This window comes from Homo sapiens, chromosome 3, assembly GCF_000001405.40.
Source record: "Homo sapiens chromosome 3, GRCh38.p14 Primary Assembly".
Taxonomy (NCBI): domain Eukaryota; kingdom Metazoa; phylum Chordata; class Mammalia; order Primates; family Hominidae; genus Homo; species Homo sapiens.
This window is the reverse complement of record NC_000003.12, coordinates 106,731,854-106,753,866: the sequence shown is the minus strand read 5'-3', so window position 1 is coordinate 106,753,866 and position 22,013 is coordinate 106,731,854. Positions and strand designations below refer to the sequence as shown.

General features: G+C 36.5%; 1 long non-coding RNA gene across 1 annotated transcript in view; it reads left to right on the top strand.

The window, feature by feature from the left end:
* The first annotated feature begins 3,132 nt into the window (after nucleotides 1-3,132).
* The window catches only part of LOC105374029 (uncharacterized), a 65,172-nt gene continuing 46,291 nt past the window's right edge, over nucleotides 3,133-22,013 (top strand). The window contains exon 1 of the long non-coding RNA XR_001740467.2: nucleotides 3,133-7,031. This is a non-coding gene — a long non-coding RNA (uncharacterized LOC105374029). The remainder of the gene's footprint in view (nucleotides 7,032-22,013) is intronic.

The following is a 22,013-nucleotide window of genomic DNA, read 5'->3' as shown; positions in this document are numbered from 1 at the left end:
ATTTGCTCTTCATTTTTTAGTTCTTTAAGGTGCATTGGGAAGTTATTTGAAGTTTTTCTGCTTTTTCTATGTAGGCAGTTATTGCTATAAACTTTCCTCTTAGTAGTGCTTTTTCACTGTATCCCATAGGTTTTAGAATGTTGTGTTTCCATTATAATTTGTTTTCAGAAAATTTTAAATTTTCTTCTTAATTTATTTATTGACCCCTTATCATTTAGGAGCCCATGTTCAATTTTCATCCATTTGTATAGTTTGCAAATTTCATCTTGCTACTGATTTCTAGTTTTATTCCATTGTGGTTAGAGAAGATACTTGATCTAATTTAAATTCTTTTGAATTTTATAAGACTTGTTTTGTGGTCTAACATATGGTCTATCCTTGAGAATGATCCATGTGCTAAGGAGAAGAAAGTGTATTCTGCAATCATTGAGTGAAATGTTCTGTAAATATCTATTAGTTTCATTTGCTCTATAGTGCCTTTAATCTATTGACTACTAGGAAATAGACTATAACCAATAGTCTATAGTCTATTGACTCCTCTTTTTATAGTTTTTGTTTTGAAGTCTATTTTGTCTGATATAGGTATAGCTACTCCTGCTCTTTTTTGTTTTCTGTTTGCATGGAATATCTTCTTGAATCCTTTCGTTTTCAGTCTATGTGTGTCTTTATAGGTGAAGTGTGTTTCTTGTATATAACAGATCATTATTGTTGCTGTTTTTAATCCAGGTTCTCTATTAGTTTTGATTGGAGAGTTTAGTCCATTTACATTCAATGTTACTATGGATAAGCAATGACCTACTCCTGACGTTTTGTTTTTTGTTTTCTGGTGTTTTGTGGTCTTCTCTTCCTTTCTTCCTTTTTCTTGTCTTCCTTTTTATAATGGCGATTTTCTCTGGTGGTATGTTTTAATTCCTGGCTTTTTATTTTTTGTGTATCTGTTGTAGGATTTCTTATTTGGGGTTACCATGAGGTTTGCAAATAACATATTATAACCCATTACTTTAAACCAATGCCAACTTAACATTGGCTGCAAAAATGTATGTCTTCTTTGGAGAAATGTCTGCTCATGTCCTTTGCCTACTTTCTATTTGTGTTATTTGTTTTTTTCTTGTTGAGTTGTTTAAGTTTGTTGTAGACTCTGGATATTAGTCCTTTCTCAGATGTAAAATTTGCCAATATTTTCTCCCATTCTGTCAGTTGTCTGTTTATTGATTATTTTGCTGTTCGGAAAGCCTTTAGTTTAATCAAGTCTCATTTGTCCAGTTCTATTTTTGTTGCAGTTGCTTTTGAGATCTTAGTTATAAATTCTTTGCCTAGGCCAATGTCCTAAATAATTTTTTCTAGATTTTCTTTCCATAGTTTCAGATCTTACATTTAAATCTTTAATCCATCTTGAGTTAAATTTTTTTCTATGGTGAGAGATAGGAGTTCAGTTCTTTACATATGGTTACATATGGCTATCGAGTTTTCCCAGCACCATTTATTGAACAGGGTCACCTTTCCTGAATTTCAGCCTCCAGGCCATGTTCCAAATAACCACCATAAATCTGAGTTCGGGATAATTGACTTCTTTTATATTGTTTTGTGCCTACATCTATCAGTTAATCTTTCCAATGCTCTTGTTTACATTATATTACATATACCACCCCAGATAAATTGTGTATATTGAAATATCAAATACAGTCAATTCTCATTATTTGCAGTGCTCATGTTCTATAAAGTTACCACAAATGCTGAATTAGTGAGTGCTAAAGCATTAGTTCTAGGGGAAATCTAGGGTTAGGTTCCTGGGAGCTTATGTTCACATTTTCCTCAACCAATCAATACATAACCTTATTTTATGTGTCTTTCTGTTTAAAGATGCCTTACTTAATATATATTGTTGATTCATTAACATTGAATTCATAGCCAAGAGCACGAAAACTCACACCTGAACTAAGTTTATCTAGCACAGATACTTTTCTGTGAAGCACATTACAGCCTTGTGCTTAGTAACACTAGGCAGTACTTTGGCACTACACCTGAGAACCATTTTAAATAGCAAAACACCAATAAACAGCACAAAAATTCCAAAAGCATGGCATTAAATAGGCCCTCAAAAGGAAACTTGTTTAGACTATGAGACCTGAAATAAGAAGGGAGAGGTTGCCTTCAGCTGGGAATGTGCATGCCAGGTGCTCAAATTGCTGCTTTGCACATGTCCAGGAATGACCACATAAATGTTGTACTCATTTGGGGGTTACCAATACATTTTAGTAGTAGACAAAATATATGCAATCTGAAAATAATGAGGATTGACTCTACTGTTTTGAGTGTTCAGGCACTTTCCTGAGTGTTTAATAAAATATCTACACAGAGATAAACATTGAATTAATGAAATGATGTCCATCTTTTGCTTGGATAGAAAAGTCTTTAAAATAGGCCTATGATTGTCAAGTCAGTATTAGGTGTTAGAAGTTTGTATATATAAATATAAAGAATTTTGTAAAAACACAAAATTATCAGGCCGTCCTCCAAGTAAGTATAACTAAAGTTTGTTGGGTCCTAATTCAATTTGTGCAGGCACCATACTAAGAATTTTATGTATACTGTCTCCTTTATGCAGTCTCAGTATGGTAAATTAATATATTCAAGTGCATACCTCTATTAAGTGTCAAATTAGAATACAAAATTCCTGGCCTTTCTAAATTGTTATTCTTAATTAACAGGCATGGCTGTGTCCACAATTAAAAAAATGACTTTTAATAGCTTTTGTTAGTTTTTTTTTTTTTTTTTTTTTTGAGACAGGGTCTCACTCTGTCATGCAGGCTGGAGTGCAGTGGTGCAATCACAGCTCACTGCAGCCTCAACTTCCCAGGCTCAATGGATCCCCCCACCCCAACCTCCTGCCCCCACCCCATCGAGTAGCTGGGACTATAGGCACATACCACCACATCTGGCTAATTTTTGTATTTTTTGTAGAGACGGGGTTTTACCATGCTGCTGCACACTGGTCTTGAACTCCTGGGCTCTAGTGATCCACCTGCTCAGCTTCCCAAAGTAATGGGAATACAGGTATGCGCCATCATGCCCCACCCATTAATTTTTATATTATAACCTTTAATATTATTTTCCATAAGCATATTTTAAATTCTTCTTGTAATTTTGTGCATATTTGTTTTATATTTATTTTCAGTGTTGACTTTCTTTTGTTATCTGTATATAATTAGTATTTAAGATTAGGAGAAGATGATTTAATGGTAGTTATAAAAATAAGCTCTACTGTATAGACATAAACTCTAGTCCTTGTGTGGTTGGCAAGTATTTTCAATATCTGAAGATACTAGATTTAAAGCAATTTGGAGTTACAGGGCTTGTGACAGATTGTCTTTTCCAAAGACGAGCACAACATCTCTCATCTGCATTGAGCTGTTATAACTCTTCCATCAAGAGGTAAAGTTTACTTTGCCACCTACTTGAATCTGAGACAGCAGCCCCAGACTGCTTTGACCAATACAGTATGCAGAACTGATACTGCCAGTAACAGGCACAGCCCTTAACTGGCCTGGAAACTTGTACTTCCTCCCTGTTGGAAGCTAACCACCATTTAATAAGTGTGACTACTCCCACCCAAGCCCATGTGGAGAGGGCTTGGAGGCTGAGAGGCTGTGCTAGAAACAGAAAGCCCAGGGAAAACAAAAGTGCCAGACCTGCAAATGAAGAAGCCAAGTTGGAAGCCAATCTTTCAGCACCAGCTGACCCCAGTTAATAGCAGATGGATTAGAGATGAACCCCCCACCTGAGTACTTCCTGACTTCCTAACATATAAAAATGTGAGCCCAATAAAATAGTAGAGATTTTATGCCACGACATTTTGAGGTAGTTTTAAATGTAGTAATCAAGAATCAGAATAGGGTCAACAGAGCATATATACCTGCCCTGCTAAAAGGCTTTATTCTTTTAAAACATTTGACTGGACAATGAGAGCCCATTTTCCCAATGAATTTGCTGTAGGGTAACTGTAGGGTTTGCTACTCCTGCTCTGGAACAACAGGAAACTGAATTCACATCCCATATCTACCATTTACTTTGTGACTGGACAAGTTACTCAACATCTTGAAGCCTTACTTTCCTTTCCAATCAAATGGGGTTACAGTGAGAATTTAATGGTTTAATGAATAAAAAGCATTACCAGCTATCAATTTTAATCATTTTTTAATTATATTTTTAGATATAGTGATTTATTTTCTTGGCTAGAAAAAATGAAATTGTATTGCTTCTTGGTTTAAAATAATTGCTGACATTTTTACTATTATACTAACCTGTCAGTGACAATGAGAATATCAGCTAGAGAAAGAGAGGAGGTGTTTTTTCCTTTTGCTTGGTTTACAAAGTCATGTTATTCAATCACTGGTTTCTATATCTATTTTTCATTATATATTTATTTACTATAGAATGCATACCTGCTCAACATATCCTTAAATATAAGATGTTAACATATGTCTATATTTCCACATATGTACAAATGATGAATTTAATAACTTTTGCATGGTTGATAGCACATAAAGCTTAAATTACTTTTTGTGTCTTTTAACAATTGCTTAACTGTTAAAGATAATGAGGTTTATAATTGCAGTCATTGTCTTTCTCTAATTGTACTTTCACAAATTAGCCTTCAGACCAAATCTATTTGAAGCTACTCTTCTACTTTTACTCTTCCCAATTTAGTCTCTGAATCTCCCCTACCCCTCTCTCATTCTTTCTTCTTCGTTTCTTCCTCTCTCCACGTACACATATATGCGTATGCACATATATGTCTATGCGCATACATGCAAACACACACATATTTACGTTTGACTTCTCAGTATTTGGTCTTTGGGTTAGGAATCCTACTTACAGCAGTCCACTGAGATACTAAATTCCTTTTATTTCAGTTCCTTATGACCATTTGTCTGTCTAAGCTTTGATAAAATATGGCAGGGTTCAGGATTATTGGCAGTCTTTTCTTCAGTGAACCCTAAAACTGGAACTTCATAAAAGTTTCACATCAGGAGAAACATGTAGAGTAGATATGAGCAGAAATAAGATTAGCAACTGCTTTGAAAATCAGATTGTTCTTATTTCTCTGCTATATGTGGAGTTCTCTTACTTGTATGCCCAGGAAGTCTTAATTTCCTCTGGCATCTGCCAGCCTGTTTCACCACATCATGCTAATTCATCCCACTGAAAAAGTTATAAAACGCAGGAAGCTTAAATAAGCCCAGGAACTGCGTTCATCACTCTTTTTAAAAAATGAAACACAGAATATGTTTGCTTTATTTACAGTATTGGCTTCAGGCAAATCAAATTTATGTGAAATATTATTGCACCGAAAGGATGTAATGTGCATTTCTTGCATGATACTAAATTTATCTTTAGGAAACAAAGACAAGTGAAGCAGCAAACTTGCCGAACAATCTCTGCCACACCATATGCACTTCGTGAGTTAAAAAGTTATGTTTTTATCCTAATTATTTATACTATAAATTCTGGTATTGCATCTAAATTCTATTAATTTTCAAAAAGTTTCATTTCATTAATTAGCTTATGGTAGGACAAAGGGGTTTCACTGTATCTACAGATGAGACTTCATTCCTTGTCTAGACTGGCTGGTGAAAACCTGGCTCCATCCCAGCCTAGGGGCAGTGACCCAGGTATAAACTCTGGGTCCAGCATCCTAAGTATAAATCCTGCTCTGTCCCTCAATTATTGAGTAAGTTCAGGGTAAAATGAACAATGCCAAGCACAAAGAGGGCTATAAAGAGGTATAAGACATAATCCTTGCCCTCATGGACTTTCGGGCTAGATTTTTGATCAGTAGATCTTAAGAGCGTGAAATATAAGCTTGTACACCTCCCAGAGCATTACTCATGTGAGGTGGAATGGAACATGCTGAAGGACACATAATCCATGTTTTAAACTGAAGAGGACCCATATAGTTAGCTAAGCTTTTAGAAGAACAGGTTGAGCATCCCTAATCGGAAAATCTAAAATCAGAAATCCTCCAAAATCTGAAAGTATTTGAGCACCAACATGATAAAAATGGAAAATTCCACATGTGACCTTATGTAATGAGTTTCAGTCAAAATGCAGGCATACAACCCACAGTTTATTCAGCATTCCCAGGAGAAAAAAGACCCTCCCAGCCTGTTTTCCTATTCAATACCTCACCTATGTTGCTTCTCAGTAGCTGATCTTGGAACATTAATGATACCAAAGGGGAGTGTTTTAGGTGCAGATCAAGATAGCAACTAAAACTTATGATAATTAACTTAGGAACTTAAATCAGTGAGTGAATTTCCAGGGACAGTGAGAACACTAATTCTCTGTGATTTTAAAATGTCTCCATTTGTTATATTCTCTGATTTTTCTTCCCGTATTTTTATGAGCAAAGCTTATATCAACCCTATAAAAATGTTATACTAGTATAAGGAAGAGTAACAGAAAGGTACAGTCTGGAAAAGTGAACCCTGGTTCATTGACTGATAAGCCAGAGGAACTCAGGACCTAATAGGCTGCAGGAGAGCATCAAAATAGGACATCAACTAGATTGCCCCTGCCCCCTCAAAGGTATACAAGTGAGTACAAGGGCCACTTTATTTGGTTCAGCATTATAAGAATTAGAAGGGTGAGGTTCCATGAACCCCCGTTTGTTATGTAATGAAGATGATTAACTTTCTGGCTTGCTGAGTAAAATGGTACTCATAATAGAATCAAAACCTTTCCTGAAGGTAAGACATGCTATATTTATTGCTTCCTCCTTGTCTATAAGCCAGAACATTCTCTCACTATTGTAATACAAGCTAATAAGAGCCAAATAAATCTCTGATCCTTTGGCTCACTCTGCCATTAAACACAAGCCATTGTAAAGTCATGAAAATTACCTGAGAAGGATGTGGAAAAACTGTTTTTTTCAGAAAAGACCAACCACAGTGATTAAAGGGATGAAAAAGATGACCTGCTTGAAAACTCTAAAGAACCCAGTATTATTTGAAAGAAGAGGAAGCTGAATGGTAACTTAATAACTATCTTCAGATTTCAACAGGACTACTACTTCTGTTTTATCCATTTCTATAGAGTTTGAAACTACTAAGGAATTATTCTGAAATCTTTCTGTAACTAGCATATTTGACTCATTTTATACTAATTATTATAACTTTTTTCCATTTAAAAAGTCTGAACTTGTATTTGGCATTCTTCCATTTGAAAGAATAAGTATTAGGAAGAGATAATCAAATAGTATTACTCTCTTTTTCTTCTTCTTATATATGAAAAGATGGTATTGTTTTTCTTGGCATAAACAACCTTTGACTTGTTCTTGCCATTTATCAGACTCAAAAATCTGTGGATTGAAGTCTTCTGTTACTTAGCTCCAGCTATGCTGTGAGTTATTATTGCCAAGCCTTAATAATATTGACAAAAAAGGGGGAAATAAACATGTTAGAAGTTAAATTGCATTCCTTGTTACTTTATAAACTGAAATAACAAGACTTGGAGTCATTATCTTGTAGATTTCTGGATAAAATTAATATGTAGGGCCTTTAACTTGTTTTGAATCTCTTAATGAACATTTTCTATGTGAGAAGTATTGTTTAGTGCTAGGTTTTTGGGTAAAAGAGAAAAAAAGAGAAAGAGTAAGACAGGATATCAGAGCTCAAGATGCTTCTAATCTGGTGGTAAAGATAATTTAATGAATTAGAGGTCGGTAAGCAACACCTAATCATATACATGTGTAGTACCTCAAGGGAAACACAAATCCTGCTTGGGCAAGAACACTGAGATAGATGTCTAAACAGGATTTCTTGTTTTTAACTCTCAAGTTTCACAATAACATAGCTCAGTTCGTTTTAGTGCCCCCGTCTACTCTCAAACTCCATCCCCGACATATTTTCATCAGACTATTCTTTCTTTCTCTTTGTTGAGTTGGTTTTTGCTTTGTTGTTCTTATATCTGAGTTTCTCCTTACTTATAAATTTTTTTTACAACTTTTCACCTGCCAAAGCCTCAATTTTATCTCGTTTCTGCTAATTGCATTCTTTTATTTCCTGCTTTTATGAGCCACTCTCCTATAAAATTTCTCAATTTAAATTCCAGAGAAGGAACTTCTGATTATCCCCACTTAGCTTCATACCGTATTATGTCATAGGTCCCAAGCCAATGCTTGGGTCAGAAGCCAATATGCATTCAATTTAGACTTACTCATTATGGCTTCTCCTGCAACAGGAACTGTGGTCCTGGCAGTTTCCTCTGGAATGAGATAAGGCATAGCAAGTATCGTAATGTGCTGTTAAATTTTGAAGAAAGTATGGAATTTGAAAAATTGAAAAGAAAAAGATAAGGATTGAAGGAACATTTGGAGACAACCCAGATATGCTGATGAACACAGTGAGGATAGGGCTTGGAGAGATCTACTTTATCTAGGGAGAAAGCATGCTCAGTAGTGGAAACACTTCTGGTTAGGCAGGGTGAGAACAGGAACTAGCAGCTCTCTAAAGCAAGCCAAGACTTTAGACTGATTGTTCTTGAGTCCATAACTTAACAAACAATAGTTAAGGGAATTTAGTTGTCCTATGTGCCTATTAAATAACTGGATAGGGGTTTTAAAATCATTTTTTAAAAAAGCAATTAAAAATACCTTTCATTTTGATTAGTAAGGGAATTTTTTAAAGAGAAACTCAGGACATATTTGACTGTAGGAAGAGATTATACTCCTTTCACTTAGAAAAATACATAACACTGGAGGAGCTAGATGTGATAAACCAGGAAATAGAAAAAGTGCCATTGTAAGTATAGACAGATATCGGGGGAAATTCAGCCAGATATTGGGCAAAATTCACCCCCGATATTTCATGTAGGTTCTTTTCTATTTTCCCTAAGCATCAGCCGGTTTGAGAAATAAAGGGACAGAGTATAACAGAGAGAAATTTTAAAGCCAGGTGTCTGGGGGAGACATCACATGTTAGTAGGTTCCGTGATGCCCCACAAGCTGTAAAACCAGCAAGTTTTCATTAGGGATTTTCAAAAGAGGAGAGAGTGTACGAATAGGGTGTGGGTCACAGAGATCACGTACTTCACAAGGTAATAGAATATCACAAGGCAAATGGAGGCAGGGCGAGATCACAGGACCACAGGACCGGGGCGAAATTAAAATTGCTAAGGAACTTTCAGGCACCATTGTCATTGATAACATCTGTCAGGAGACAGGGTTTGAGAGCAACCGGTCTGACCAAAACTTATTAGGCGGGAATTTCCTCGTCCTAATAAGCCTGGGAGCGCTATGGGAGACTGGGGCTTATTTCATCCCTACAGCTCGACCATAGAAGATGGCCACACCCAAGGGGGCCATTTTAGAGGCCCACCCTCAGGGGCGCATTCTCTTTCTCAGGGATGTTCCTTGCTGATAAAAAGAATTCAGTAATATTTCTCCCATTTGTTTCTGAAAGGAGAAATATGGCTTTGTTCCACCCGGCTCACTGGCGGTCAGAATTTAAGGTTATCTCTCTTATTCCCTGAACATTGCTGTTATCCTGTTCTTTTTTCAAGGTGCCCAGATTTCATATTGTCCAAACACACATGCTCTACAATTTGTGCAGTTAACGCAATTATCACAGGGTCCTGAGGCGACATATATCCTCCTCAGCTGACAGGATTAAGAGATTAAAGTAAAGACAGCCATAGGAAATCATAAGGGTATTGATTGGGGAAGTGATAAGTGTCCATGAAATCTTCACAATTTATGTTTAGAGATTGCAGTAAAGACAGACATAAGAAATTATAAAAGTATTAATTTGGGGAACTAATAAATGTCCATGAAATCTTCACAATCCATGTTCTTCTGCCATGGCTTCAGCTGGTCCCTCCATTCGGGGTCCCTGACTTCCCGCAACAGACAGAGATATTTATATTTCAGCCTGACCCTAATCCTAACCCAAATTCTAATTCTAAAAGAGATCACATTTAAAATATATCTTTATTTTGGAAGAATTGCAAAGCTAAACTTTTCTAAAATCCTAGTCTTTAGCGAGACAATGTTATTTTGAGTTAAGTCAAAAATTTTGCACACACACATGCACACATGCATGCTGTGGCTGTCTTGTGGCTTTTCCTTGAAATGGGTATGTGATTATATTATTTTCCCCCTCCCTTTAGAAAGACATAACACATGTCATTGGTCATTATTTTGCCACATGGTGACCCTAGTTTAAAGTTTTGTTCTATGTTCATGTTAAAGGAGAAAAAATGATAAATGACAATGTAATCAAGAAATTGAATATAAACTTGCCGATTCGTCTAATTACAGAGTTTAGTGCTGTGGGTTCCAATTTGTCTCTTCCTAGACAGTTGCTTTGTATCCATGAATGAATGAATTCGTAGTATTGAAAACCTGCTCCCAGTGCTATGTAATTTATCAAATAATATGTGTGAGTATAAGATATAACTGCTGCCCACAAAAACTCATAATTTATTTGAGGACACAAAACTCATATACATAAAATAATTCATGAATGAGACATATTCACATGTTATATGCAGGCAGGTCCTGCTTTTACTGTGCTTGTGGAAATCCAATTTTAAAATATATTATTTTAAGATAAATTCTCACCTGGGAGTATGTTGTATTCTAACACTATTATCTTTGTCTTTTGGGGCATATTTGGCTTACATACAAGTCAAAGAATACTAGTTTAAAAAGTTGTTAAATTCAAATTTACCCAACATATATTATCTATTATATGTTATGCATTCTTTTTTATATGTTATCACAAACTACAATTTCAGCACTGTCCATGTTCTTCGTTTTTTAGATAAGAAATGGCTCGGAAAAGTTAGGTAATATGGCCAAATTTACACATCTACTAAGTGTCAATGCTGAGATGTGAAAGTCAGTTTTTCTCAGTCAAACTTTAAGAGTCTCCTTACTGTCTATGTGAATGTTTGTGTCCCCTCAAAATTTGTATGTTGAGACACAATCCCCAATGCAATGATGTTAAGAGGTGAGGTTAGGAGGTGATTAGATCAGGAGGGTGGAGCTCTCATGAGTGGGATTATTGCTGTTATAAAAGAGGCCTGAGGGAGCTTGTTCACCCCTTCTTCCATCTGAGGACACATAGAAGGTGCCATACATGAGGAACAGGCCCTCACCAGAGACTGAATCTGATGGGGCCTTGATCTTGGACTTCCCAGCTTCCAGAAGTGCGGGCAATAAATTTCTGTTTATAGATTATCCAGTCTTAGGAATTTTGTTGTGTCAGCCCAAACAAACTAAGATAAAAATCCTTTAACCTTCATCCAATGATTGTGTGGTAAGTTATTGAGGATTGATTAAAGCTCTTTACTAGGCATTGCCAATGCTTAAAGCTCTAAAATACAAAACAGAGAGACATGGATACTACTTATGCAGAGATCATAAATTCTATTGTTTATATGATTAGACTCTACGACTGTTCTACTTAAATGCTAATTGAGGAATGCAACACCAGGTAAGGAAAAGGTCTGAGAGGGTTTGGTTAGTATGGGTTAGCATCAGGAGGAAGATTTCATGGGGGAATTTGACTAATTTCTTAAAAGTTTAATAATAGCAACCATATAAATAAATATCTTTGCTTTTACTTCTTTCTTTCTCCCCTCCCTCTCCTTTTCTTCCTTTCTGTCTTCTATTTGCTGCATAACTACTATATGTCATAGAATATTTGATGACATTTTCAAGTGTAAATAGCTTTCATCTATATTATCTCATGTTATCCTTGTAACAATCTTTTAGGTTAAATACAGAAGTATTAGCTTCTCTTGCTGATGAGAAAATCTGTAAACATTGTTTTCCAAGTTTTTGCCCTACATACAAATATAGGACCTCAACCCCATATAACATAAGTTCCGTCAAGAGTTGCTAAAGTCCCTAAGCAGTATCTTGTATGTGTTTATAAACCAGTCTGGAGCTAGCTGATTTTCCAGGTTCTAGCAGGGTTTCTTCTGACCAGTACTTCGTTTGCCATGTCACATTTACTGGGTACTACCACTCAAGAATGCCTTTGCTGTCACTTCCACTGGTCTCATACCACTAGCACACTATGCCTTCAGTTTTTAGTCACATGCCAATTTCTTTTATTTTTAATTTTATTTATTTATTTATTTATTGTTTACTTTAAGTTTGGGGATACATGTGCTAAATGTCAAGTTTGTTACATAGGTATACATGTGCCATGGTGGTTTGCTGCACCTATCAACCTGTCATCTAAGTTGTCACATGCCAATTTCAAGATTTAAGATAGGAGTTCACCAGGAGCTTAGGTAAGAAAAAACACTAGTACTTGGCTTTGCCTCCTTTATTCTTAAGACTTCGTTATTCAGTCAAACTCCTGCTAGACTTCCTTTCCCTAGGAATGGTTTTTCCTGCTTGCCTTTTGCAAGCAGGTTCTTTGCTTTTTCTGAATCCTAGTGGTGGTAGATCAAGGTGGAACCTATGAGTAAGAGGTAGGTCAAGAACTAAACTTTTTGAATTCCAGAACCAAAAATACTGAATGAAAAAAAATTAATTAAGAGTTCTTTTTCATTCTAAAATAGGTTTTTTACAAGGCTAAACAGTGGGAACAATTTTGAGAAAGGCACAGAGATGTACAAAAGCTTAATTTATAAGAAACACTAGAGTTCCCATATGCTGTGAAAGGTTGCTGCTGAGTAAGGAAATGTGTAGATGTTTGAATGCCAGACAAAGAAATTTCCAAATCTCCTTTCAATTTCCTTTTAATAGCCCATTAAACTTTTCATGCCATGTTTTCATGCCATGGTTTGTTTGTTTATTTATTGAGAGTCTCACTCTGTCGGCCAGGCTGGAGGGCAGTGGCACTATCTTGGCTCACTGCAACCTCTGTCTCCCGGGCTCAAGTAATTCTCCTGCCTCAGCCTCCCAAGTAGCTGGATTACAGGCATGGGCCACCATGCCTAATTTTTGCATTTTTAGTAGAGACGGGGTTTCACCATGTTGGCCAGGCTGGTCTCGAACTCTTGACCTCAGGTAATCCGCCCGCTTTGGCCTCCCAAAGTATTGGGATTACAGGTGTAAGCCACTGCGCCTCGCTGCCATGGTTTATTTGTAGACCCTTATGATATACAGCTTATAATTTCTACTTATTTCCCATGATTTCAATCACTTCATGCTTATAAATACAAAGAGTTTTCTGTATTAAATTTTTAAGATGAATTTCATTGATTAATATTATTTAGGACATAGAAAAAAACACAACTTAAATTCAGTGTTTATAATAAAACAAGTTGGTTTATGCATAATGTATTCCTATCTTCTAGCAAGCATCTGCTGCACTAGGAACCCCAACACTGGCTTTTTCTGCAAAGAAAAAAAGTAACAAAAAGAAAATATTTACAGCTATTTTCAGATCCAAATTCAAAATTTTAGCTTGGACTAGGACTCAGTGGGACTTCATTAGAATTGCTGTAGAGAATTGGAAAACTGAAAAGAGTTTCTGCATTCCCTGTGCAGCAGCAGGTCTGCAGAATTCAGAATAATCCCCCTGGGAGGCATTAAGCAACAAGTCATGATTTCTCACTTTCCTGTTTCATTTGTTTGAGAGGGTAGTTTTCCTTTTGTGAGAGAGGGTAAAAATGAAGTTATTAGTTTTGGTTTTTGCTCTCCTGCAGTATCATGTCAAGCTTACTTACGTCTGAAGTTTTCAGCTGTTCCTCTATCTGGTGGATTAAAAAATGTGCCCTTTATAAATACGATTAGTATGGAGAATTGATACATTAACAGTTAGCTTTATAAATTGACAGATTTCTAAATTAACCTATGGTCCACAAATCAAGTTCTATCACTATTTCCTGCCACCAAAATCAGTGATGAAGCCTCTTCCACACTAAATGAAGAGTGGCGAGGGACAGAATTCCACTTGTCTTCCTTTTGCTGCACTAACTACACCAGGCAAAGCCTTCTTAAAACCCTGATTTTTCTAGATACATGTTTCTTAGATAAGTTACATGTTTCTTAGATAATCTGTAATATATTTGACTACTAATGTAGTAGTTTTTAAAAATATTGGTAGAACAACCTGATATTACTTTAAAAATAAAACAGAAAATAGTAGTGGCTAATGATTCCTTTTTTTTTCTTTCCAACATTTTTATGATTCCAAAAATTTTCTGTTGTTTTTATAGGATCAAAGATTTTTTTAGGTAAAAGTAGAAGATTTTTTGTGGTGTGAGATTTGAGGAGCATGCACCAGGTTCATCTTCTCAAGAACAGTGTCTTGCCCATCCCTGAGAACTGACACTCCCCACTTAGAGATGCATTTCCTTTGTGAATTAAGGAGGGCATGCTGAAGAACTGGAAGTAGCAACTTTATTCCCTCAAAGAGGGAAGAGGCTCTCCAGGGTGTCTCAATACCTTTATATTATTAGGTTTCACTTAATACCTTTATATTATTAGGTATCCACAGGTTATCCTGGCCTTCATTGTGCAGCATTGCATGAGACACTTTAGTTTCCATGCTTAGCTGTTAGCTGCTTCAGGCAGGGAACGAGGATGCTGTTGATGAAAGATGAAAGATATAAGGAAGGGAAATTAAATGGCCCCTAAATTACAAGAAGGGTGATAATATTACAGGCTAAGGTTAAGACTGTGTACCAAGACATTTAACGCAGTAGGTTAAGAAGGCAGAGTAATAAAGAGACAACCTTGGCAAGTGCCACCACAAACCCAGGAAGCCAGGACTCCTGCAGTGGGTCTCCATGTGGTGAAGAGTCCCACTCTTCTGTCTTCTGACTGTGCTCCTCTTCTAGGTAGGAGGATTTTCTGGGTCTAAGGGGATGTTTCCACCCAGAACCCTCCTTCTAAACTATGCCCCAGCAATCCCAGAAACCATCACTTCATGTCCAGTGCCTACATGAACCTCTTCCCCATATCCATCCTTCCAGTTATACCCATGCATGTTCCTCTAGATCCAAGCAGGATTTCCATTTGTACTCTTGCCCAGGCCTGGAAAATGTTAGGACAGCCTGACCATGCTTGTTCGTAATACACATTAATCTGGAACTGGTCCTGTGTAAGTCTGGAGGTTACCAGAGAATGAAGGAGAATGAAGTCTAATTAGTTCTTTGCTTATGTTCTTAGGGCTTAGGCTGTTTAGGCCTGGATTTGCTCAAGAAAATTCACACACATAAAGATCAATGATGTGTATATGGAGATCTGAAAAGCTGAGTTTTACAACTTTGGAATCAGGTTGTCTTGTTACATGGGTTTTAGGGGAGAAAAGTGGAAGGAGAACCATCCCTGCACATCAGAGCGCCAGTAATGAATAAATTATTAGTTAAAAGAGATAGCAGGGTTGAGAAGAGATTTGACATGGAAGGGCTATATTGGACATGCTTATAGTCAGAGAGAAGTGGTGAGTGACAAGGGAAGGGAAAATTTGCTTTAGTATATACTGACATTATTAAAACAAGTACTTTGAGTTTATTGAATAATGAACGTTCCTCTTTATATAGCAAATAATTTATCATTACTTTTTTTGGTAGCGTGTAGAGTTTTCCTATAATGTTTTACTATCCATATACTATTATATATTCTATATAATAAAGTTCAATTTACAGACTCCTCAGTGTAGGACTACTAATACTAATCCATCTAGTGTTGATGACTCATTGTTTTGATGAAGGCACCTGTACATCTGGAGAATATTATGGATGGAATTTTGTCTACCAAAATTCATATATTCGAGGGCTAACCCCTAATGTATTGGTATTTGAAGGTAACTACCTTTGTGAGGTAGTTAGGTTTAGATAAGCTCATGAGGGTGGGAGCCTCATGATGACATTATTACCCTTAGAAGAAGGAAGCTTGGTCTCTCCCTCACTCTCTCTGCCATGTGTGAACACAGAAGGAAGGCGACTATCTGCAAGTTAGGAAGAGGGACCTCACAAGAAACTGACCAGGCTGGCACCCTCATCTTTGACTTCCAGCCTCCAGAACCATGAGAATATAAACGTCTGTTGTTTAAGCCACCAAGTCCATGGTCTTTTGTTATAGCAGACTAAGACAAATATACAGACATAGAGTTGATAATTTGGGGCATAAGAATGAGTATATGCTGAAGCCCTGTAGGGCTTGTCCTGCAACTTATTTAAAATGGCCCTGGAAGTCACATTTTTTCTTTGACTACTAAAGGAAGCATATGTAACTCCACAGTGGAACACAGTAACATATTTGCTTTTCTGTAAAATTAATTTGAAAGTCTGTGGATCTAGCATTTTTCTTTCTGGTGATGCTTGGTCCCAAGAAAACCATATTCTCTCCTACTATGATCAGTGTTCTCTGACTGGACACCATTCAGAACACTAGTTCTAATTTATGTGCTAGTGACCCAGCAAGCCACAGACTTGCATATTCACTTGAGCACATTTATTTATCTTGTATGCAAGGTTAATGGAGAGCAAGGAAGTTAGTCCTTGCTATTTCAAGAACATGTACATGAACAACTTGGAAGTAGCTTATTTCAAATCGCACACATTGGTCTCAATCAAAATAACTGTTTACAGTTTATCAGATGTGGCATGAGATCCATTGCCAGTTGGTTGAGCAAAGTCCAGGCATAAACAATGGTAAAAATTGTGTCTTTTTTGATAAGATTAAAAACTATGATAAATGGTTGAATAAAAAATCAATGTGGGATAACTTTTATTATGATGGCTTGCATTCTTATCCATATGTTAAATCAGTGTTGTCATATTAAGAAGAGAAAAAATGATTTTAAAATAATTCTCAGCATGTGTAGTTGATTAGAAGTAGATTTCCATGACCGGGCGCTGTGGCTCACGCCTGTAATCCCAGCACTTTGGGAGGCTGAGGCGGGCGGATCACAAGATCAGGAAATCGAAACCATCCTGGCTAACACGGTGAAACCCCGTCTCTACTAAAAATACAAAAAATTAGCCAGGTGTGGTGGCGGGCGCCTGTAGTCCCAGCTACTCGGGAGGCTGAGACAGGAGAATGGCGTGAACCCAGGAGGCGGAGCTTGCAGTGAGCCTAGATCGCGCCCCTGCACTACAGCCTGGGGGACAGAGCAAGACTCTGTCTCAAGAAAAAAAAAGAAGTAGATTTCCATTTTTCAAACACTAGAGTGGGCTATGTGTTCTGAAATGGAATGGAAATATGGAGGAAATGATGTGATCAGAGTTCTTGATGCTCCACTCTTCTGGGGAAGGTGAGCTCAGGGAAGCCTAGTGTTAGGCAGTGAGCGTATGAGTAGGGAAGAGTCATGCTAGCTCACTAGTTCCGGTTCCTCTCGGGGAAAGCAGCTGCTATCATTCAGAGCTGCGTCTAGCCTTTGCCTGCATCGCAATATAGAAAAACTTCTTAAAATATATAGGGTCATAACTTTCAGTCAGAACGAAATAGTGTACCCATTTTTCCCTGTTCTTCCCTGTTAAGCACAACTATAAAGCAGAAGAAACACCTAACAATGCTGTTAGCTATTGATCATTGATCAGGAAGCCCTTGAAACTACTGCCCCAGTCTTTCAATAGGTTTTACCATCCAGCATTGACTATTTCAGACTTGACTGTATCTATTGCTTGGGACACATTTGTATTGACACTGAGTATAACAGCAGGTAAAATTTCAGAAAAATTTAAATAGGTCTCTTTTTTTCTTCCCTATCTTTCTGTCTTCTCTCTTTTTATTCATTCTCATTTCATGATGTCCAAGTTATATAACACTGATGCTACTGAGGAGAAAGCCTAAAGATTACTACTGTCTTTATTAGAATGGAGAGGATCCATTACCTTCATATGGTACCAGTCACCATACTTTTTTTTTTTTTTTGAGACAGAGTCTCGCTCTGTCTCCCAGGCTGGAGTGCAGTGGCGCTATCTCGGCTCACTGCAAGCTCCGCCTCCGGAGTTCACGCCATTCTCCTGCCTCAGCCTCCCAGTAGCTGGGACTACAGGCGCCCGCCACCACGCCCGGCTAATTTTTTGTATTTTTAGTAGAGACTGGGTTTCACCGTGTAAGCCAGGATGGTCTCGATTTCCTGACCTCGTGGTCCGCCCGCCTCAGCCTCCCAAAGTGCTGGGATTACAGGCTTGAGCCACCGCGCCAGGCCCACCATACATTTTTGAAGCACAATTAATCAGGCATTATAGATTTCTGTCATCAGACTAGCCCAAAGATGTAGATGTTGTCCTCCTATGAGCCCAAGGTAGTGTTGCTCTGTGGAGGTCTGTCAGTTCCTCTATGCCTCTCCTCCCTATAAAATGAACGGAGTCAGATTCATTTAAGTGGCCTTGTTAGGGTACCGGTTGGAAAATCTCATATATTCCTTAGGTGCTAGGCACATAGTAAGTGCTCAATCACTGTCAGCAATAATAATAGGTATCATTACAGTTAATGGAGGATCGCAATTCTTTTCTGTATGTCTGCAAAATTTTATGAGTGATACTAAATTCCTTTAAATGTGTTGAATGGCAAATATGGCTGTGCAGAGCTTGACAATTTACTTTCTCAGCAGAGATGTATCTTGATATTTTGGTTGTGCTTTCTATGATGGCCAATTGTATAAAGGACCAACTTTTCTGTAGATTCATGTCCTGACCTTTAATTGAGGTATCATTTTATTTATTTTTGTCTCCCATCTTAAGTGCCTTGTTCCAGAATAATGTCATTTTTAGGGTCAATCTGCTATGATGATAAATACCTAAGAATCTTATGGATGTCTCTCTGTGAGAAATCTCTCCTTCTTTGAATAATATAATAATAATAAATATCATTTTTATATCAAGGTCATCAAAATGTGACAAGAGAAAGATTATCCAATATTTCATAATTCAACTTGTGGTACGTTAAAATGATAGGAATCCAAAATAAATCTAATGGAATAAAACTTTGAAAAATTTATGTTTTTAAAGCAAGTCCTTGAATGCTGTTTTAATGCATCTTCATTAGATTGATAGGATCTAGACTTCTTTGCAAACAGACTTTATCACAGGCACATGCAATTCATCATTGCTGTTGTCCTCATTAATCTCTTTTCTTTTCTCTGAAATAATACTTCCTGCTTCAACTCATACATTTAGAAAACAATGAAGTGATATCTTCTCAAGTTGACCTATGTGTCTTAAATGTGTTTAAGGTATTTTAAAGTCTTTGTCACTTACCTGTCTTTTGAATGTGGGCAATATGAATACTTTTTTCTAACAGGATAGAATATATATTCTTAGCTGCTCTTCCTTTTGAAGGACTGTTTATTATTTGATTTAAAAAACAAAAGAAAGAGAAAAAATAAAGGAAAGAAAGTAACTGAAATATTCCATCAAAAGAGTAACATTCCAATGTTAGTCAAAAGAGTAGCTCAAAAGTTACTCAAAAGAGTAACATTGTTAAAATAAGGAAAGAAGAAAGTAGTGAGAGGAGGAAGAAAGGAAGAATGGGAGAAGGAGAAATAAAACTTCATTGAAATAGAGCATTAAAATACAATATTAATGGGAAAGAAAAGGAAAGTACCATTTTTTAAATATCCTGATGGAACAGGTGTGGAAGATTACCCAAGGATGAATCATTCATTAATTTTTTTTTATTGAGAGTCATATTAGCTCTTCGAAACTATTTTCAGTATGTTACATTTGAGGCTGAGAAGAAAAAATTATTTTCTTTCTAACTTTTGTTAATTTCTACAAGCACATAATAATTAACAAGGTCTTTATATTTATTTATAGGTGGTGAATAGTCAAATTATGTGAATGCTAATTTACATATGAAGATGATCCTTAATATAATTAAGAGAATATATCAAGATTTTTGAATTACGATTAGACATAGAAAGCTTTGTTACTTTCAGTTTTAAAAAATCTATTCCCAAAATAAATTTATGTTACTAATTTAGACAAAAGGGAAATGTGTTCAGTATACAAAAATTTCCCACAAATTGTAAAGAATAAGCTACTAAATGTAAAAATAAACACAAATTGGTAATTTAGAGAAAAATAATTGCAAATAAACTAGTCAAAACTCACAAATAGGCAACAGTGCTGTTGCCATTTTCACTCTTACGCAAAAATTATAGAAATTATTGTATCCATTGCTGGGGGATGTAGGAGAAGGTTTCCATTATATGTTATTTGTGAGACTATGAGTCAGCACAAAGTTTTTTGGGAAAAAATTTGGCTTTCTTTAATACATTAAATAAATTAATTTAAGTTATTTAAAATTTATACTGTCATATCCCCTCGTCCAACAATACCACTTTTGGGGCTCTAACCTAAAGAAATAAAAGAGGGATATATAAGGATATGAGAGATATATAAAGATATTTATTTAAGTAATTTCTTTTTGTAAGGATATGAGGGAGATGTATAAAGATATTTCTTTAAGTAATTTCTTTTTGAGACAGAGTCTGTCTTTGTCACCCAGGCTGGAGTGCAGTGGTGCAGTCATGGCTCACTGCAACCTCTGTTTCCAGGGCTTGAGTGATTTATCCTTCCTCACCCTCCCAAAGGGCTGGGATTACAGAGCTGAGCTACCCTGCCTGGCCAGTAATTTTTGATGTTAACAAATAAAGCTGAAAATGCCTGAATATCCATCAGGAAATAGTTCACTAATGAATATATTCTATACTGTCTCTGTTTCTCTCATCTCTCTCTACCTCTCTATCTGTACCTACATCTTTACCTCTATCACTATCTATATAATAACCAGAAAGGGAAGCCATGATATTTAAAAGCACAAAAACAAGTAGTGGTAACTATGTAATGGTATTACCCAATTTTTGTTGAAACCAAATCCGTATGCTTGTGCGAACATAGAGAATGATGTAGACATATACATCCCATGCTGTAAATATTACCTTCGGTAGAGTGGACTGAAGAAAAGTATAGGTGGTGGCTGCTAAGTTTTTTCCTCCCACATTGCTGTATTAACGAATTTGTTAAATCAAGTATGATTAACTTTCTAATTAATTAAAAAACTAACAAAGCTTAACAATTAAAGCCTTCTACATTCACATTTTCCTTTCTTTGGATTTATATTTGTACCTTAGTCTGCTGTGCAGATGCTGTCTAATAACTATGTAAGTCAGCATCCTGGAATAGATTCATCTTTAATTCTTTCAGTAAAAGACTGGCCACTTGGAAGTTCTTTTCTTTTGAAACTTTTGCAGTCTATGTGTTTCTGTAATAAATTCAGTCTGTGAGAGTGATTCTCAATATAGCATGAAAAGAACATATAGGAATTACCTGGGGAATTTCAGCTTACACATACATTTGATACTTAACCAACCTAACCCATATGCATGAATACTATGGTGAGCCACTGCTACTAATGTGAGTGTGTTTCATTTCTTAGTATGCTGATTTGGGAAAAGTTTGGGAGTCAGTGATCCATAAAATGCTTTTGCAGAGCACTCAAAGTCTGAGATGCTGAATTCTCTTCAGCAGAATAGCTTCATTCACTCCAAACATAAAATCATTAATTTGAAAGAAAAGAATAATTTAATTCTTATTGCTATCTTAAGGCTGAATATCATCACAGACGTTTAGATCGAAGAAAACTCTTCATTTTACAAAAGGGCAAACTGAAGTCAAGAGGATGAAGTGACTTGATCAATATCTTACAAGTTAATGGTTAGCTGGGGTCCATGATGTAACTCTAGTGGTTCCCAGGACTTCCTGGAGAGGTGAGAAAGATTGCTTTTACCTGAAGAGGATGCCCAATCCAAGCCTGAAGAAGAGCGCTGGAGGCATGCAGAGTGCTCTTTTGTAGTTGTATCTTTAATGTCCTCTTTTTTAACGGAGACTTTTAACATACTTTTGGAAGGGATATTCTTGCTAAACTGAGCTTTCTTCATTACCTTCCAACCTGATGTTACTGGAATTTATGAGCCACAGGCAGTGTGGCATAGACAGTATCACTGTTATCCAGCCAAGTATTCTGTCCTCAGGATGATCTGTACCATTTCCAGTATGTGAGCTCCTTCTCAAGAATCAGTAATCCACCT